At 45.5% G+C, this 13,119-nt stretch overlaps 1 pseudogene, besides 2 other annotated features; it reads left to right on the top strand.

Moving 5' to 3' along the window:
• On the top strand, window positions 7,718-7,825 carry RNU6-563P (RNA, U6 small nuclear 563, pseudogene; annotated as a pseudogene).
• Window positions 12,829-12,888: a silencer, noted in NCBI's record as "silent region_12979". NCBI's record gives its function as "represses an Ori minimal core promoter by ATAC-STARR-seq in GM12878 lymphoblastoid cells {active_cell/tissue: GM12878}" and the evidence as "EXISTENCE:reporter gene assay evidence [ECO:0000049][PMID:35858748]".
• Window positions 12,909-12,958: a silencer, noted in NCBI's record as "silent region_12978". NCBI's record gives its function as "represses an Ori minimal core promoter by ATAC-STARR-seq in GM12878 lymphoblastoid cells {active_cell/tissue: GM12878}" and the evidence as "EXISTENCE:reporter gene assay evidence [ECO:0000049][PMID:35858748]".

Genomic DNA, 13,119 nt, shown 5'->3' with positions numbered 1-13,119 from the left:
GCAGTAACCTGCAAAGCCCCATACAGCCCGTCTCTTGCCCTGCCCTTCCCTCTCTAAACTCATCACCTTCTTCTCTTCCACTCACTTCTGTAACTCAGCTACAATGGACTCGGCCTCTCCAACGTGCTTAGCACACTCTGGCCTTAAAGATCGTGCACTTGCTATTTCCTCTGCCTAGAACAGTATTTTCCCAGAAAATTCAAATAACCCATTCCCTAATCTCCCCATGGTCATTGTCCAAATGTCACTTATTCAGTGAGGCTTTCCCTAACTGCTCTATTTTAACTTCCTGCCCACTCTGATCCCAGCTTTCCCTACTCCTATTCCTTTCTTCATTTATTTTCAGAGCATGAATTATCATTAAAATCATGATATATTTCTGTTTACTTATGTTATTTAAAATATCTCATTTTGGCTGGGCGCGGTGACTCACGAATGTAATCCCAGCACTTTGGGAGGCCAAGGCAGGCAGATCACCTGAGGTCGGGAGTTCAAGACCAGCCTGACCAATATGGAGAAACCCCGTCACTACTAAAAATACATAATTAGCTGGGCATGGTAGCACATGCCTGTAATCCGAGCTACTCAGGAGGCTGAGGCAGGAGAATCACTTGAACCTGGGGGCAGAGGTTGCGGTGAGCCGAGATGGCACCATTGCACTCCAACCTGGGCAACAAGAGTGAAACTCCGTCTCAAAAAAAAAAAAAGTAAAAATTAAAAAATTAAATATCTCATTTCTGGGCCGGGCACGGTGGCTCACACCTGTAATCCCAACACTTTGGGAGGCCAAGGTGGGCAGATCACCTGAGGTCAGAAGTTCCAGACCAGCCTGCCCAACATGGCGAAACCCCGTCTCTACTAAAAATACAAAAGATTAGCTGGGCATGGTGGCAGGCGCCTATAATCCTGGCTACTCGGGAGGCTGAGGCAGGAGAATCACTTGAACCCGGGAGGCAGAGGTTGCAGTGAGCCGAGATCGCGCCACTGCACTCCAGCCTGGGCCACAAGAGCGAAACTCTGTCTCAAAAAAATATATATATATATATTTCCACCAGGGCACAGTGGCTCAGGCCTGTAATCCCAACACTTTGGAAGGCCGAGAGATTGCTTGAGCCCAGGAGTTCAAGACCAGCCTTGGCAACAAAGCAGATACCCAGTCTCTACAAAAAATTTTAAAATTAGCTTGGTGTGGTGGCGCCTGCTTGTATTCCCAAGTACTCAGGAGGCTGAGGTGGGAGGATTGCCTGAGTAGGGGAGGTCAAGGCTGCAGTGAGCCATGCTTGCACCACTGCACTCCAGCCTGGGCGACAGAGTGAGACTCCATTTCAAATATATATATATATAAAATAAAAATAATAAAATAAAATACTGCGTTAGATGCTGAGAACCCAGAGATGAAATGCTCACACGTGTATGGCCTTTCACCTCAGCAACTGCACCTGTCTCCTAGCTACTCTCCTTGCTTCTCTCCCTTTCATCCTCTACAGGGCACTCCCAATACAGTAGCCAGAGGGATCCTTGAAAAATCATGTATTAAATCATGTTACTTCCAACCTAGGCCGGGTACGGTGGCTCACGCCTGTAATTCCAGCACTTTGGGAGGGCAAAGCAGGCAGATCACTTGAGGTCAGGGTTTTGAGGCCAGCCTGACCAATATAGTGAAACCCTGTCTCTACTAAAAATACAAAATTAGCTGGGCATGGTGGCACACACCTGTAGTCCTAGCAACTTGGGAGGCTGAAGCAGGAGAATCTCTTGAACCCAGGAGGCAGAGGTTGCAGTAAGCCAAGATCATGCCACTGCACTCCAGCCAGGGCAACAAGAGCGTAACTCCATCTCAAAAACAAAACAAAACAAAACAAAACAAAAAACTTCCAACCTAAACAGCTTCGAATGGCATCCCATTGCATTTGGGATAAAACTCAGACCCTAGTTGGGTGTGGTGGCCCACGCTTCTAGTCCTAGCTACTCAGAAAGCTGAGGTGAGAGGATTGCTTGAGCCCGGAAGTTCGAGGCTGCAGTGAGCCGTAATTGTGCCAGTGCACTCCAACCTGGGTGACAGAGGGAGACCCTGACTCCATTTAAGAAAACAAACTACTCTGACCCTAATTGATTTGGTCTCTGCTCCCCTCCCTGATCTCAGGTGATATATCTCTCCCTATATCTCACCCCATGTCACACTAACATTCCTGAACACACCAAGCATATTCCTGCCTCAGGACCTGTGCACCTGTTGTTCCTTTTGCCTAGAATTTTCTTTCCTCCTGGCTTGCTCTCTATTGCCATTCAAGTCTCTGCTGCAATGTCTCCTTCTCGGATAGAACTTCTAAAGCACTAAACACACACACAGGCACAAACACAGTCATATCACCCTGCTTTGTCTTCACAATGATTCATACCATACACCATCTGAATTTTTTTAGAAATTTTTTTTTTTTAGATGGAGTTTCACTCTTGTTGCCCAGACTGGAGTGCAATGGCGTGATCTCGGCTCACCACAACCTCCGACTCCCGGGTTCAAGTGATTCTCCTGCCTCAGCCTCCTGAGTAGCTGGGATTACAGGCACATGCCACCATGCCCAGCTAATTTTTTGCATTTTTAGTAGGGACGGGGTTTCTCCATGTTGAAATGCAGTGGCACAATCATGGCTCACTGTAACCTCAAACTTCTGGCTCAGCTGAATTTTTTTGAGACAGAGCCTTGCTCTGTTGCCCCGGCTGGGGTGTAGTGGTGTGATCTCAGCTCACTGCAATCTCCGCCTCCTGAGTTCAAGGGCTTCCTCTGCCTCAGCCTCCCGAGTAGCTGGGATTACAGGCACGTGCCACCACACTTGGCTAATTTTTGTATTTTTAGTAGAGATGGGGTGTTACCATGTTGGCCAAGCTGGTCTTGTATTCCTGACCTCAAGTAATCCAACCTCCTTGGCCTCTCAACATGCTGGGATTTACAGGCGTGTGCCACTGCGCCTGGCAAACATTGGCAGAGTTTGATGGAACCTGTAGGTGATCTTGTAGTGAGTGACATGTGGAAACACTGCTCTAGACTCAAAATCTAAGCCAAATGAGTGACACACTCTACAAGATAGTCTGTGTAGGTGCCCACTATCATTCTTTCCTGCTGTTTGCACAGGCCACTCCTACATCGAAAGGTAGGCTTTATTTCCTCTTCCTTGAACTGGAGTTGACTCTGTAACTGTTTGACCAATGGAAATAGTGGAAGTGATGTCATGGGACTTTCAAGTCTAGGCTTTAAGATGATTGGGGTGGCTCATGCCTGTAATCCCAGCACTTTGGGAGGCTGAGGCAGGTGGATCACCTGAGGTCAGGAGTTCGAGACCAGCCTGGCCAACATGGTGAAACCGCGTCTCTACTAAAAGTACAAAAATTAGCCAGGCGCCGTGGCACATGCCTGTAAACCCAGCTACTCTGGAGGCTGAGGAAGGAGAATCGCTTGAACCTGGGAGGCGGAGGTTGCAGTGAGCCAAGATTGTGCCACTGCACTCCAGCCCAGGCGACAGAGTGAGATTCTGTCTCAATAAAATAAAATAAAATAAAATAAAATAAAATAAAGATGATTGGCAGCTTACACTTTCTTCCTCATGGAACCCAGCTGCCAGATTATGGGAAGCCTAAGCCACATGGAGAGGCTACATGAAGTAAAAACTGAAGCACTCCACTTGGCAGCCCCAGCTGAGATTCCAGGCAAGAGCCTGCAGTAACTGTCAGCCATGCAAATGAGCCTTCTCATACATTTCAGTCCTTAGAGGCCCCAGGTGACTATAGTGTTGACCAGAACATTGTGAAAAAAAAGTTATAAAAAAGGAAAATAGGTAGTTTTTAAAAATAAAAATAAATGGCCAGGCGCAGTGGCTCATGCCTGTAATCCCAGCACTTTGGGAGGCCAAGGCAGGTGGATCATTTGAGGTCAGGAGTTCGCGACCAGCCTGACCAACATGGTGAAACCCTGTCTCTACTAAAAATACAAAATTAGCTGGGTATGGTAGCACACACCTGTAATCCCAGCTACTCGGGAGGCTGAGGCAGGAGAATCGCTTGAACCCAGGAGGCAGAGCTTGCAGTGAGCCAAGATCGCGCCATTGCATTCCAGCCTGGGCAACAGAGCGAGACTCAGTCTCAAAAAAAAAAAAAAAAGAAAAAAAACTAAATCATAATTAAATAATTTTTTAAAAAAAAGAACTGGAACAGAAGAACCATCCCACCAAACCTAATCAACCAAGAGAATCATGGGAGATAATAAAGATGTTGTTCTTTCAGCCACTAATCTTTACAGTGATTTACTATGCAGCAATGGATTATTGAAATACTATGTAAGTGTGAAGTTTTGTTGAACTGTGGCTGAGAACTTTTAATAGGTAGGAAGAATAATTTCAAATTCTGAAATTATTCCTCAATAAAATTGGCTTGACCTAGGGGACCCAAAGGCACAAATTCTCTGAGGATACGATTAGAAGGTCAACTAGAACAAGCCCTCCAAAAATGAAGAGATCCTGCCTACAAATATTTCTGAGTGCATGAAGCCTCTACTTACATGCTGCCCTGTGAACTTCCTCAAGGGCAGCTGTGCCAGTTAGGATTCTTGGGTTGCAAGCAACAGCAATAGACTTTGAAATGTAGCAAAATGATATCCAGGAACTCAAAGAATCAATGGGAAGTCTGGAGGGCCAGGTCGGAAATGTCAGAAACAAAGGGAAGAAAAGAAGAAAAGTAAAAGTGAATAAATAAAAAAAGAAAAAAAGATTTAAATAAAGAAAAAGAAAGCAAGGGAAGAGAAGATACTTGAAGATACTTGAACATCTTTTTCTTTTTCCTTTTTTTTTTTTTTTGGAGATGGAGTTTTGTTCTTGTGGTCCAGGCTGGAGTGCAATTGCACAATCATGGCTCACAGCAACCTCCGCCTCCCAGGTTCAAGCAATTCTCCTGCCTCACCTCCCAAGTAGCTGGGATTACAGGCATGTGCCACCACACCTGGCTAATTTTTGTTAATAGAGACAGGATTTTACCACTTTGGCCAGGCTGGTCTTGAACTCCTGACCTCAGGTGATCCACCTGCCTTGGCCTCCCAAAGTGCTGGGATTACAGGTGTAAGCCACTGCGCCTGGCCATACTTGAACATCTTATCTGAGACCAGCAGTAGATCTAGAAAAGACCACTCATTTTATCCTGTCCTCTCATTACCCTATTCCAAGATTCAAATTCCGAAGAGTAATCTGTTCAATTGATCTAGCTTGGGTCACATGTTTTATATGAAAGGAACTCCAGACCGGTAACAATGGTAACTAGCCTGCTTGCAACTTGCTCTCAAATGATTTAGGGAGAAAAAATGCACACACACAGGGAGAGAGAGTACAGATGAGCAAATATGGCAAAATGTGATCAATTAGTACGTTTAGGTTTAGGGTACACAGGTTTGTTTGGGGTTTTTTTGTTTGTTTGTTTTCAGGTGAAGTCTCACACTGTCATCTAGGCTGGGGTGCAGTGGCGCGATCTCTGCTCACTGCAACCTCTGCCCCCCAGATTTAAGCGATTCTCCTGCCTCAGCCTCCCGAGTAGTTGGGATTACAGGCACCTGCCACCAGGCCCAGCTAATTTTTTGTATTTTTAGTAGAGACAGGGTTTCACTATGTTGGCCATGCTGGTCTTGAACTCCTGACCTTGTGATCCACCCGCCTCGGCCTCCCAAAGTGCTGGGATTACAGACATGAGCCACCTTGCCCGGCCTTTGTTTTTATTTTTTGAGATGGAATCTCACTCTGTCACCCAGGCTGGAGTGTAATGGCACAATCTCGGCTCACTGCAACCTCTGCCTCCTGGGTTCAAGCGATTCTCTTGCCTCAGCCTCCTGAGTAGTTGGGATTACAGGCGTGCACCACCACGCCAGGCAAATTTTGTTTTTAGTAGAAATGGGGTTTCACCATGTTGGCCAGGCTGGTCTTAAAATCCGCCCGCCTCAGCCTCTGAAAGTGCCGGGATTACAAAAGTGAGACACCGTGCCCGACTGATTTTTTTTTTTTTTTTTTTTTTTTGAGACAGGGTTTCACTCTGCTACCCAGGCTGTAGTGCAGTGGCATGCTCACGGCTCACTGCAGCCTGGACCTTTTGGGCTCAAGTCATTTTCGTGCCTCAGTTTCTGTCCCTACTGCTATCTCCCACATTCTTCCCTCTTTCATTGTGTGAGATATAGCCAGATACCCTAATGGTTAAGAGTGTGGACTTTCCAGGAGTTCAAGACCAGCCTGGGCAACAAGGTGAGACCCCTGTCTCTACAAAATTAGAAAAATTATGGCCAGGCGCAGTGGCTCTGCCTGTAATCCCAGCACTTTGGGAGGGCCAGGTGGGCAGATGACTTGATCTCAGGAGTTTGAGACCAGCCTGGGCAACATGGCAAAACCCTGCCTATACCAAAAAAAAAAAAAAATTAGCCAAGTGTGGTGGCATGCGCCTGTAGCCTCCCAGCTACTCAAGAAGCTGAGGTGGGAGGATCACCTGAGCCAAGGAGGTTAAGGCTGCAGTGAGCCAAGATCGTGGGGCTCACGGTCTCAAAAATAAACAAATACATACAAACATACATAAATTAGCCAAGTATGATGGCATGCACCTTTAGTCCCAGCTACTGGGAGGCTGAGGCAGGAGGCTCACTAGAGCCAGGGAAGTCAAGGTGATTACACTCCACCCTGGAGTCCAAAAAGAGAAAAAAGAAAATGTGGGCTTTGACACTCACTGCCTAACCTGCTAAGCTGGTTCTGCTACTTACAAAGCTGTGTGATAGTGGCTGGTTATTTGAACTTTCTGTGCCTCCATTTCCTAAAGTGAGAACACTGATAATGATAATAATAGCAACAACAATAATGCTTATGTCATAGGGTATTATCAGGATTAAATAGAACAGCATAGTGAAAGCTCTAAACACAGTGTCAAGCACAGAGCACTCAAATGTTAATAATGATAATGTATGGCAGTTCCAAACTTGCTTCGTAGGGGTTAATATCCAAGGGTTAGTAACAATGTTCTCCTCCCTCACCCCACACCATATTTTGCTTCATGATAGTAATTACAGTGTGAAATTTCCCTGCAAGTGAAAATAGATTCCTTGGGTAGAAGCCTAAACCCTGCACATGCCTAAAACTCTGTTACGAAATACCTAATCTGAAAATGAGCTGGCACAGCCCCAAGCTCCACCCCCAGGCTGTACTCTGAACCACTTTTCTCCCTGGGAAGGACACACAACTGAGGGGGAAAGAGAGAGCAGAAGAGAGAGATCAAAAAATGCAATTTAGGGTAAACAAGTACTTGACTTCTTGTTTTGCTTAAAAGAGGGGAAAAACACCCCTGAGAAGAATCATATTTAAGACAAATTTTTGGAGATAAAGAGCAGCCTGAGCTTTACAACCCAGAGTTGCCTTATTCATGCCTCTTCCTTTAAACTCAAATCAGGGTTTGGTGACCTGTGATTTTTGTGCCAGAGATGACACATGCGCCTGTTGGAATTGGCACCTGGCCTGGCTGCAACAGACTTGTCCTGCTCCACAACCTGCAAATGACTCCACAGCTGGAAGAATTTGAAGCCCAGCTCATTTTTGTTTTGCTTTTCCTTTCTAGACTTACATATTAAACATATTTGCCTTGGAAGAAAAAATCATTTGCTATCAAATGCTTTAAAAGTACCCACTGTAAGAGGGCTAAAATAAAAATAAGGACTATGCTCATGTTGGCAGCACATACACTAAAACTGAAACAATACAGAGAAGATTAGTGTGGTCCCTGCACAAGGATGACATGCAAATTCTGTGAAGCATTCCAGTTTTGGGGTTTTTTTTGGTTTTTGTTTGTTTGTTTGTTTGTTTTTGAGACAGAGTTTCGCTCTTGTTGCCCAGGCTGGAGTGCAATGGCACAATCTCGGCTCACTGCAACCTCTGCCTCCCGGGTTCGAGCCATTCTCCTGCCTCAGCCTCCCAAGTAGCTGGGATTACAGGTGCCCACCACCAGGCCCAGCTAATTTTTTGTATTTTTAATGGAGATGGGATTTCGCCGTGTTGGCCAGGCTGGTCTTGAAATCCTGACCTCAGGTTATCCGCCTGCCTCAGCCTCCCAAAGTGCTGGGATTACAGGCGTGAGCCACCGTGCCTGACCCCAGTTTTTTGTTTTGTTTTGTTTTGTTTTTTAAGTGTTAACCACAATGTAGAGAAATTGAACCATTTGTACACTGTTGGTGGGACTGTAAAATGGTACTCCATTTCGCAAAATTGGTGGGCAGTTCTCCAAAGTGTTAAACAAAGAATTGCCATATGACCCATCAATTATACCCCTAAGTATATACCCAAGTGAATTGAAAACATATGTCCATGCAAAATCTTGTACAGTAACATCCTTAACAGGTTTGCCATGTAATTGATTGATAATAGCCACAGGGTTTTAACTTTTATGTTTTTAAAGCTAGAATCTTAACTTACCTTATACATTCACCCCTGGCATAGAACTGTTTGCATGCCCCAACATCTCTACTCCTTCCATGTTCCTACTCTGTAAGTACTAAATCACTGGAAGAGGGTTTATCCTCTCAAATAAGCTTACTGCCATCACTTTAAAACTCATTTTCTTTTTTTTTTTTTTTTTGACAGTTTTGCTCTTGTCGCGCAGGGTGGCGTGCCATGGCATGGTCTTGGCTCACTGCAACCTCTGTCTCCCAGGTTCAAGCAATTCTCCTGCCTCAGCCTCCTAAGCAGCTGGAATTACAGGCACCCACCACCATGTCCGGCTAATTTTTGTATTTTTAGTAGAGACGGGGTTCCACCATGTTATCTAGGCTGGTCTTGAACTCCTGATCTCAGGTGATCTGCCCGCCTCAGCCTCCCTAGGTGCTGAGATCACAGGCATGAGCCACCACACCTGGTCCCCAAATTCATTTTTTAAAAAAGGAAGTGTTTTACTCCAGGGCTGGAGTCAGCCAACCTTTATATGATGGGATACCAAGAGTCAGCCAAACTATATATGTTGGAATATCATGTAGTCAATGAAACATTATGAAGCTGTTTAACACTCAGCAGTTAAAAAAGATCTCCCAGATACTTCACTTTTAAAAAAAGTTGTGGATACATTGTAGGTGTATATATCAATGGAGTACATAGGATGTTTTGTTACAGTTTTGCAATGTGAAATAAGCACATCACAGAGAATGGGGTTCAGACACTTTTAAGTTAAAAAAAAAAGGTAAAGCAGTATGTATAATAGGCCTTTTTTTGTGTTACAAATATGTATATATATAGGCCAGACGTGGTGGCTCACGCCTGTAATCCCAGCACTTTGGGAGGCCAAGGTGGGCGGATCACCTGAGGCCAGGAGTTCGAGACCAGCCTGACCAATATGATGAAACCCCATCTTTACTAAAAAAATACAAAAATTAGCCGGCCATCTTAAAAAAAAAAAAAAAACCTACAAAAATTAGCCGGGCATGGCGGCGTGCACCTGTAATCCCAGCCACTCTGGAGGCTAAGGCAGGAAAATTGCTTAAACCCAGGAGGCAGATGTTGCAGTGAGCTGAGATCGCACCATTGCACTCCAGCCTGGGCAACAAGAGTGAAACTCCATCTCAAAAAAAGAGAAAGAAATACAAGTGTCAATACTGAATCACAATGTGAAATATGTTTGTTGCTGTTCTGCGATTCAGCCAAAGGCTTGAAGACACTGAGCTAGGAGGATGAATTTTTGGCCCCCACATTCTTTTTCATGACCTCAAACATATGGGCCAGGCTTGGTATATAGATCTGAGATCCCAATTCCTCTTAAGGGTAAAGTCAAGAGAGAAGTACTGCCAGTGGAAAGGCCATGGCTTCTGAGGTGGCCTTTTTGAGGAACTGACTTAACCCTTGCCTTTTTCTAGAGACAGATAAATGTGAGGTGTTGCCATTCTTCAGCAAATATTTTCCCAGCTTGGCTTAGGAGCTATTCTTACATTTTCTCTTTTTTTTTTTTTTTTTTTTGAGACGGAGTTTTGCTCTTGTTGTCCAGGCTGGAGTGCAATGACATGATCTCGGCTCACCACAACCTCTGCCTCCCGGGTTCAAGCGATTCTCCCGCCTCAGCCTCCCGAGTAACTGGGATTACAGGCGTCCACCACCACGCCTGGCTAATTTTGTATTTTTAGTAGAGACAGGGTTTCTCCATGTTGGTCAGGCTGGGCTCGAACTCCCGATCTCAGGTGATCCACCCGCCTCAGCCTCCCAAAGTGCTGGGATTACAGGAGTGAACCACCACTCCGGGCCCATTTTCTTTTTCTTTTTCTTTTTTTTTTTTTGAGACAGAGTCTTGCTCTGTCACCTAGGTTGGAGTGCAGTGTTACGAGATCTCAGCTCACCGTAACCTCCATCTCCCAGGTTAAGTGATTCTCATGCCTCAGCCTCCCGAGTAGCTGGGATTAAAGGCGTGTGCCAGCATACATGGCTAATTTTTGTTTCACCATGTTTGCCAGGCTGGTATGGAACTCCTGACCTCAGGTGATCTGCCTGCCTCAGCCTCCCAAAATGCTGGGATTACAAGCATGAGCCACTGTACCCAGACAATATTTTCTTTCCTTTCCTCCTCTCTTCCTCTTTCCTTTCTTTTTTCCTCCTTCCTTTTATTTTATTTTATTTTTTTTTTTTTTGAGACAGAGTCTCGCTCTGTCACCCAGGCTGGAGTACAATGGTGCAATCTTGGCTCACTACAACCTCCACCTCCTGGGCTCAAGCGATTCTCCTGCCTCAGCCTCCCGAGTAACTGGGATTACAGGCACATGCCACCACACCCAGCTAATTTTTGTATTTTTAGTAGAGACGGGGTTTCACCATGTTGCCCAGGCTGGTCTTGAACTCCTGACCTCAGGTGATCCACCCGCCTCGGCCTCCCAAAGTACTGGGATTACAGGCGTGAGCCACCGCACCCTGCCCTTATTTTTTATTTTATTAGAGACAAGGTCTCGCTCTGTCACCCACGCTGGAGTACAGTGGTACAGTCATAGCTCACCGCAGCTCAAACTATTCCACTGCTTCTCAGGCTCCTGAGTAGCTGAGACTACAGGCGCATACCACCACACCCAGCTAATTTTTAAAATTTTTTTGTAGAGACAAGGTCTCACTATGTTGCTCAGGCTGGTCTTGAACTCTTGGCCTCAAGTGATCCTTCCGCCTTGGCCTCCCAAACTGCTGCTTGCACTTTGATTACAGGCGTCAGCCACTGCGCCCAGCCTCTTCATTTATTTTTAACTTCTACAAAGGAAATGCGATGTAAGTCCCTCAGCCACCCACTTCCTCTTCCAGAGGAGCCACCATTGCCAATTTCTTAGGTATTATTTAAGAGATGCATTTACAAATAAACACACACACACACACACACGTATTTATATATATTCTTTTTTTTTTTTTTCTGAGATGGAGTCTCCCTCTGTCACGCAGGCTGGAGTGCAGTGGCGTGATCTCTGCTCACTGTAACCTCCACCTCCCGGGTTCAAGCAATTCTCCTGACTCAACCTCCCAAGTAGCTGGGATTACAGGCGTGCACCACCACGCCCAGCTAATTTTTTTAATTTTCAGTAGAGCCGGGGTTTCACCATGTTGGCCAGGCTGGTCTTGAACTCCTAACCTCAAGTGATCCGCCTGCCTTGGCCTCCCAAAGTGTTGGGATTACAGGCGTGAGCCACCGCATCTGGTCTATATATATATACATTTTTGTAACACAAAATAAGGCCTATTATACACACTGCTTTATCTCTTTTTTTTTTTTTAACTTAAAGTATCTGGACCCCATTCTCCATGATGTGCTTATTTCACATTGCATGCCTGTAACAAGACATCCTGTATACCCCATTGATATATACACCTACAATGTATCCACAACTTCTTTTAAAAGTAAAGTATCTGGGAGATCTTTTTTAACTGTTGAATGTTAAGCAGCTTCATAATGTTTCACTGGCTACATGGTATCCCATCATATAGAGTTTCGGGGGCATTTAAAGGTTGGCTGACTCCAGCCCTGGAATAAAACACTTCCTTTTTTAAAAAATGAATTCGGGGACCAGGTGCGGTGGCTCACACCTGTAATCCCAGAACTTAGGGAGGCCGAGGCGGGCGGATCACCTGAGGTCAAGAGTTCGAGACCAGCCTGGCCAACATGGTGGAACCCCGTATCTACTAAAAATATAAAAATTAGCCAGGCGTGGTGGCGGGTGCCTGTAATTCCAGCTGCTTAGGAGGCTGAGGCAGGAGAATTGCTTGAACCCAGGAGGCAGAGGTTGCAGTGAGCCAAGACCGTGCCATTGCACTCCAGCCTGGGCAACAAGAACAGTGAAACTCCGTCTCAAAAAAAAAAAAAAAAAAGTAAAGAAAAGAAATAGTGTTTTAAAGTGATGACAGTAAGCTTATTTGAGAGGACAAACCCTCTATCAATGATTTAGTACTTACAGAGTAGGAACATGGAAGGAGTAGCCATGTTGGGGCATGCAAACAGTATCTATGCCAGAGGTGAATGTATAAGGCAAGTTAAGATTCTAGCTTTAAAAAAAATAAAAATTTGCCAGGCGTGGTGGCTTACGCCTGTAATCCCAGCACTTTGTGAGGCCGAGGTGGGCGGATCACCTGAGGTCAGGAGTTCAAGACCAGCCTGACCAACATGGAGAAAACCCGTCTCTACTAAAAATACAAAATTAGCCAGGGTGGTGGTGCATGCCTGTAATCCCAGCTACTCGGGAGGCTGAGGCAGGAGAATCACTTGAACCTGGGAGGCAGAGGTTGCAGTGAGCCGAGATCGCGCCATTGCACACCAGCCTGGGCAAAAAGAGCAAAACTCCATCTCAAAAAAAAAAATATTTTAAACCTTCTGGCTATTATCAATCAACTACATTGCAAACCTGTTAAGGATGTTACTGTACATGTCAGTCATGATGTCTGCCCCACTTACCCACAGACCCTTCTAAAGACAGAGCAGAAGTCACCTTCTTTGGTACCATGTGACTGGCAACTTCTGCTCACACCACAGCTGATTGTGTCAGACATGGGCATCAGCCCCAGGGGCAGCCAATGCATGGGCAGGGCAAGTGATTTATGAGATAGCTGGACCCAGAATATCTGGCCC

The sequence above is a fragment of the Homo sapiens genome, chromosome 20 (genome assembly GCF_000001405.40).
Source record: "Homo sapiens chromosome 20, GRCh38.p14 Primary Assembly".
NCBI lineage: Eukaryota > Metazoa > Chordata > Mammalia > Primates > Hominidae > Homo > Homo sapiens.
The sequence above is the reverse complement of the archived record's forward strand: the minus strand, read 5'-3'. Positions and strand labels throughout refer to the sequence as shown.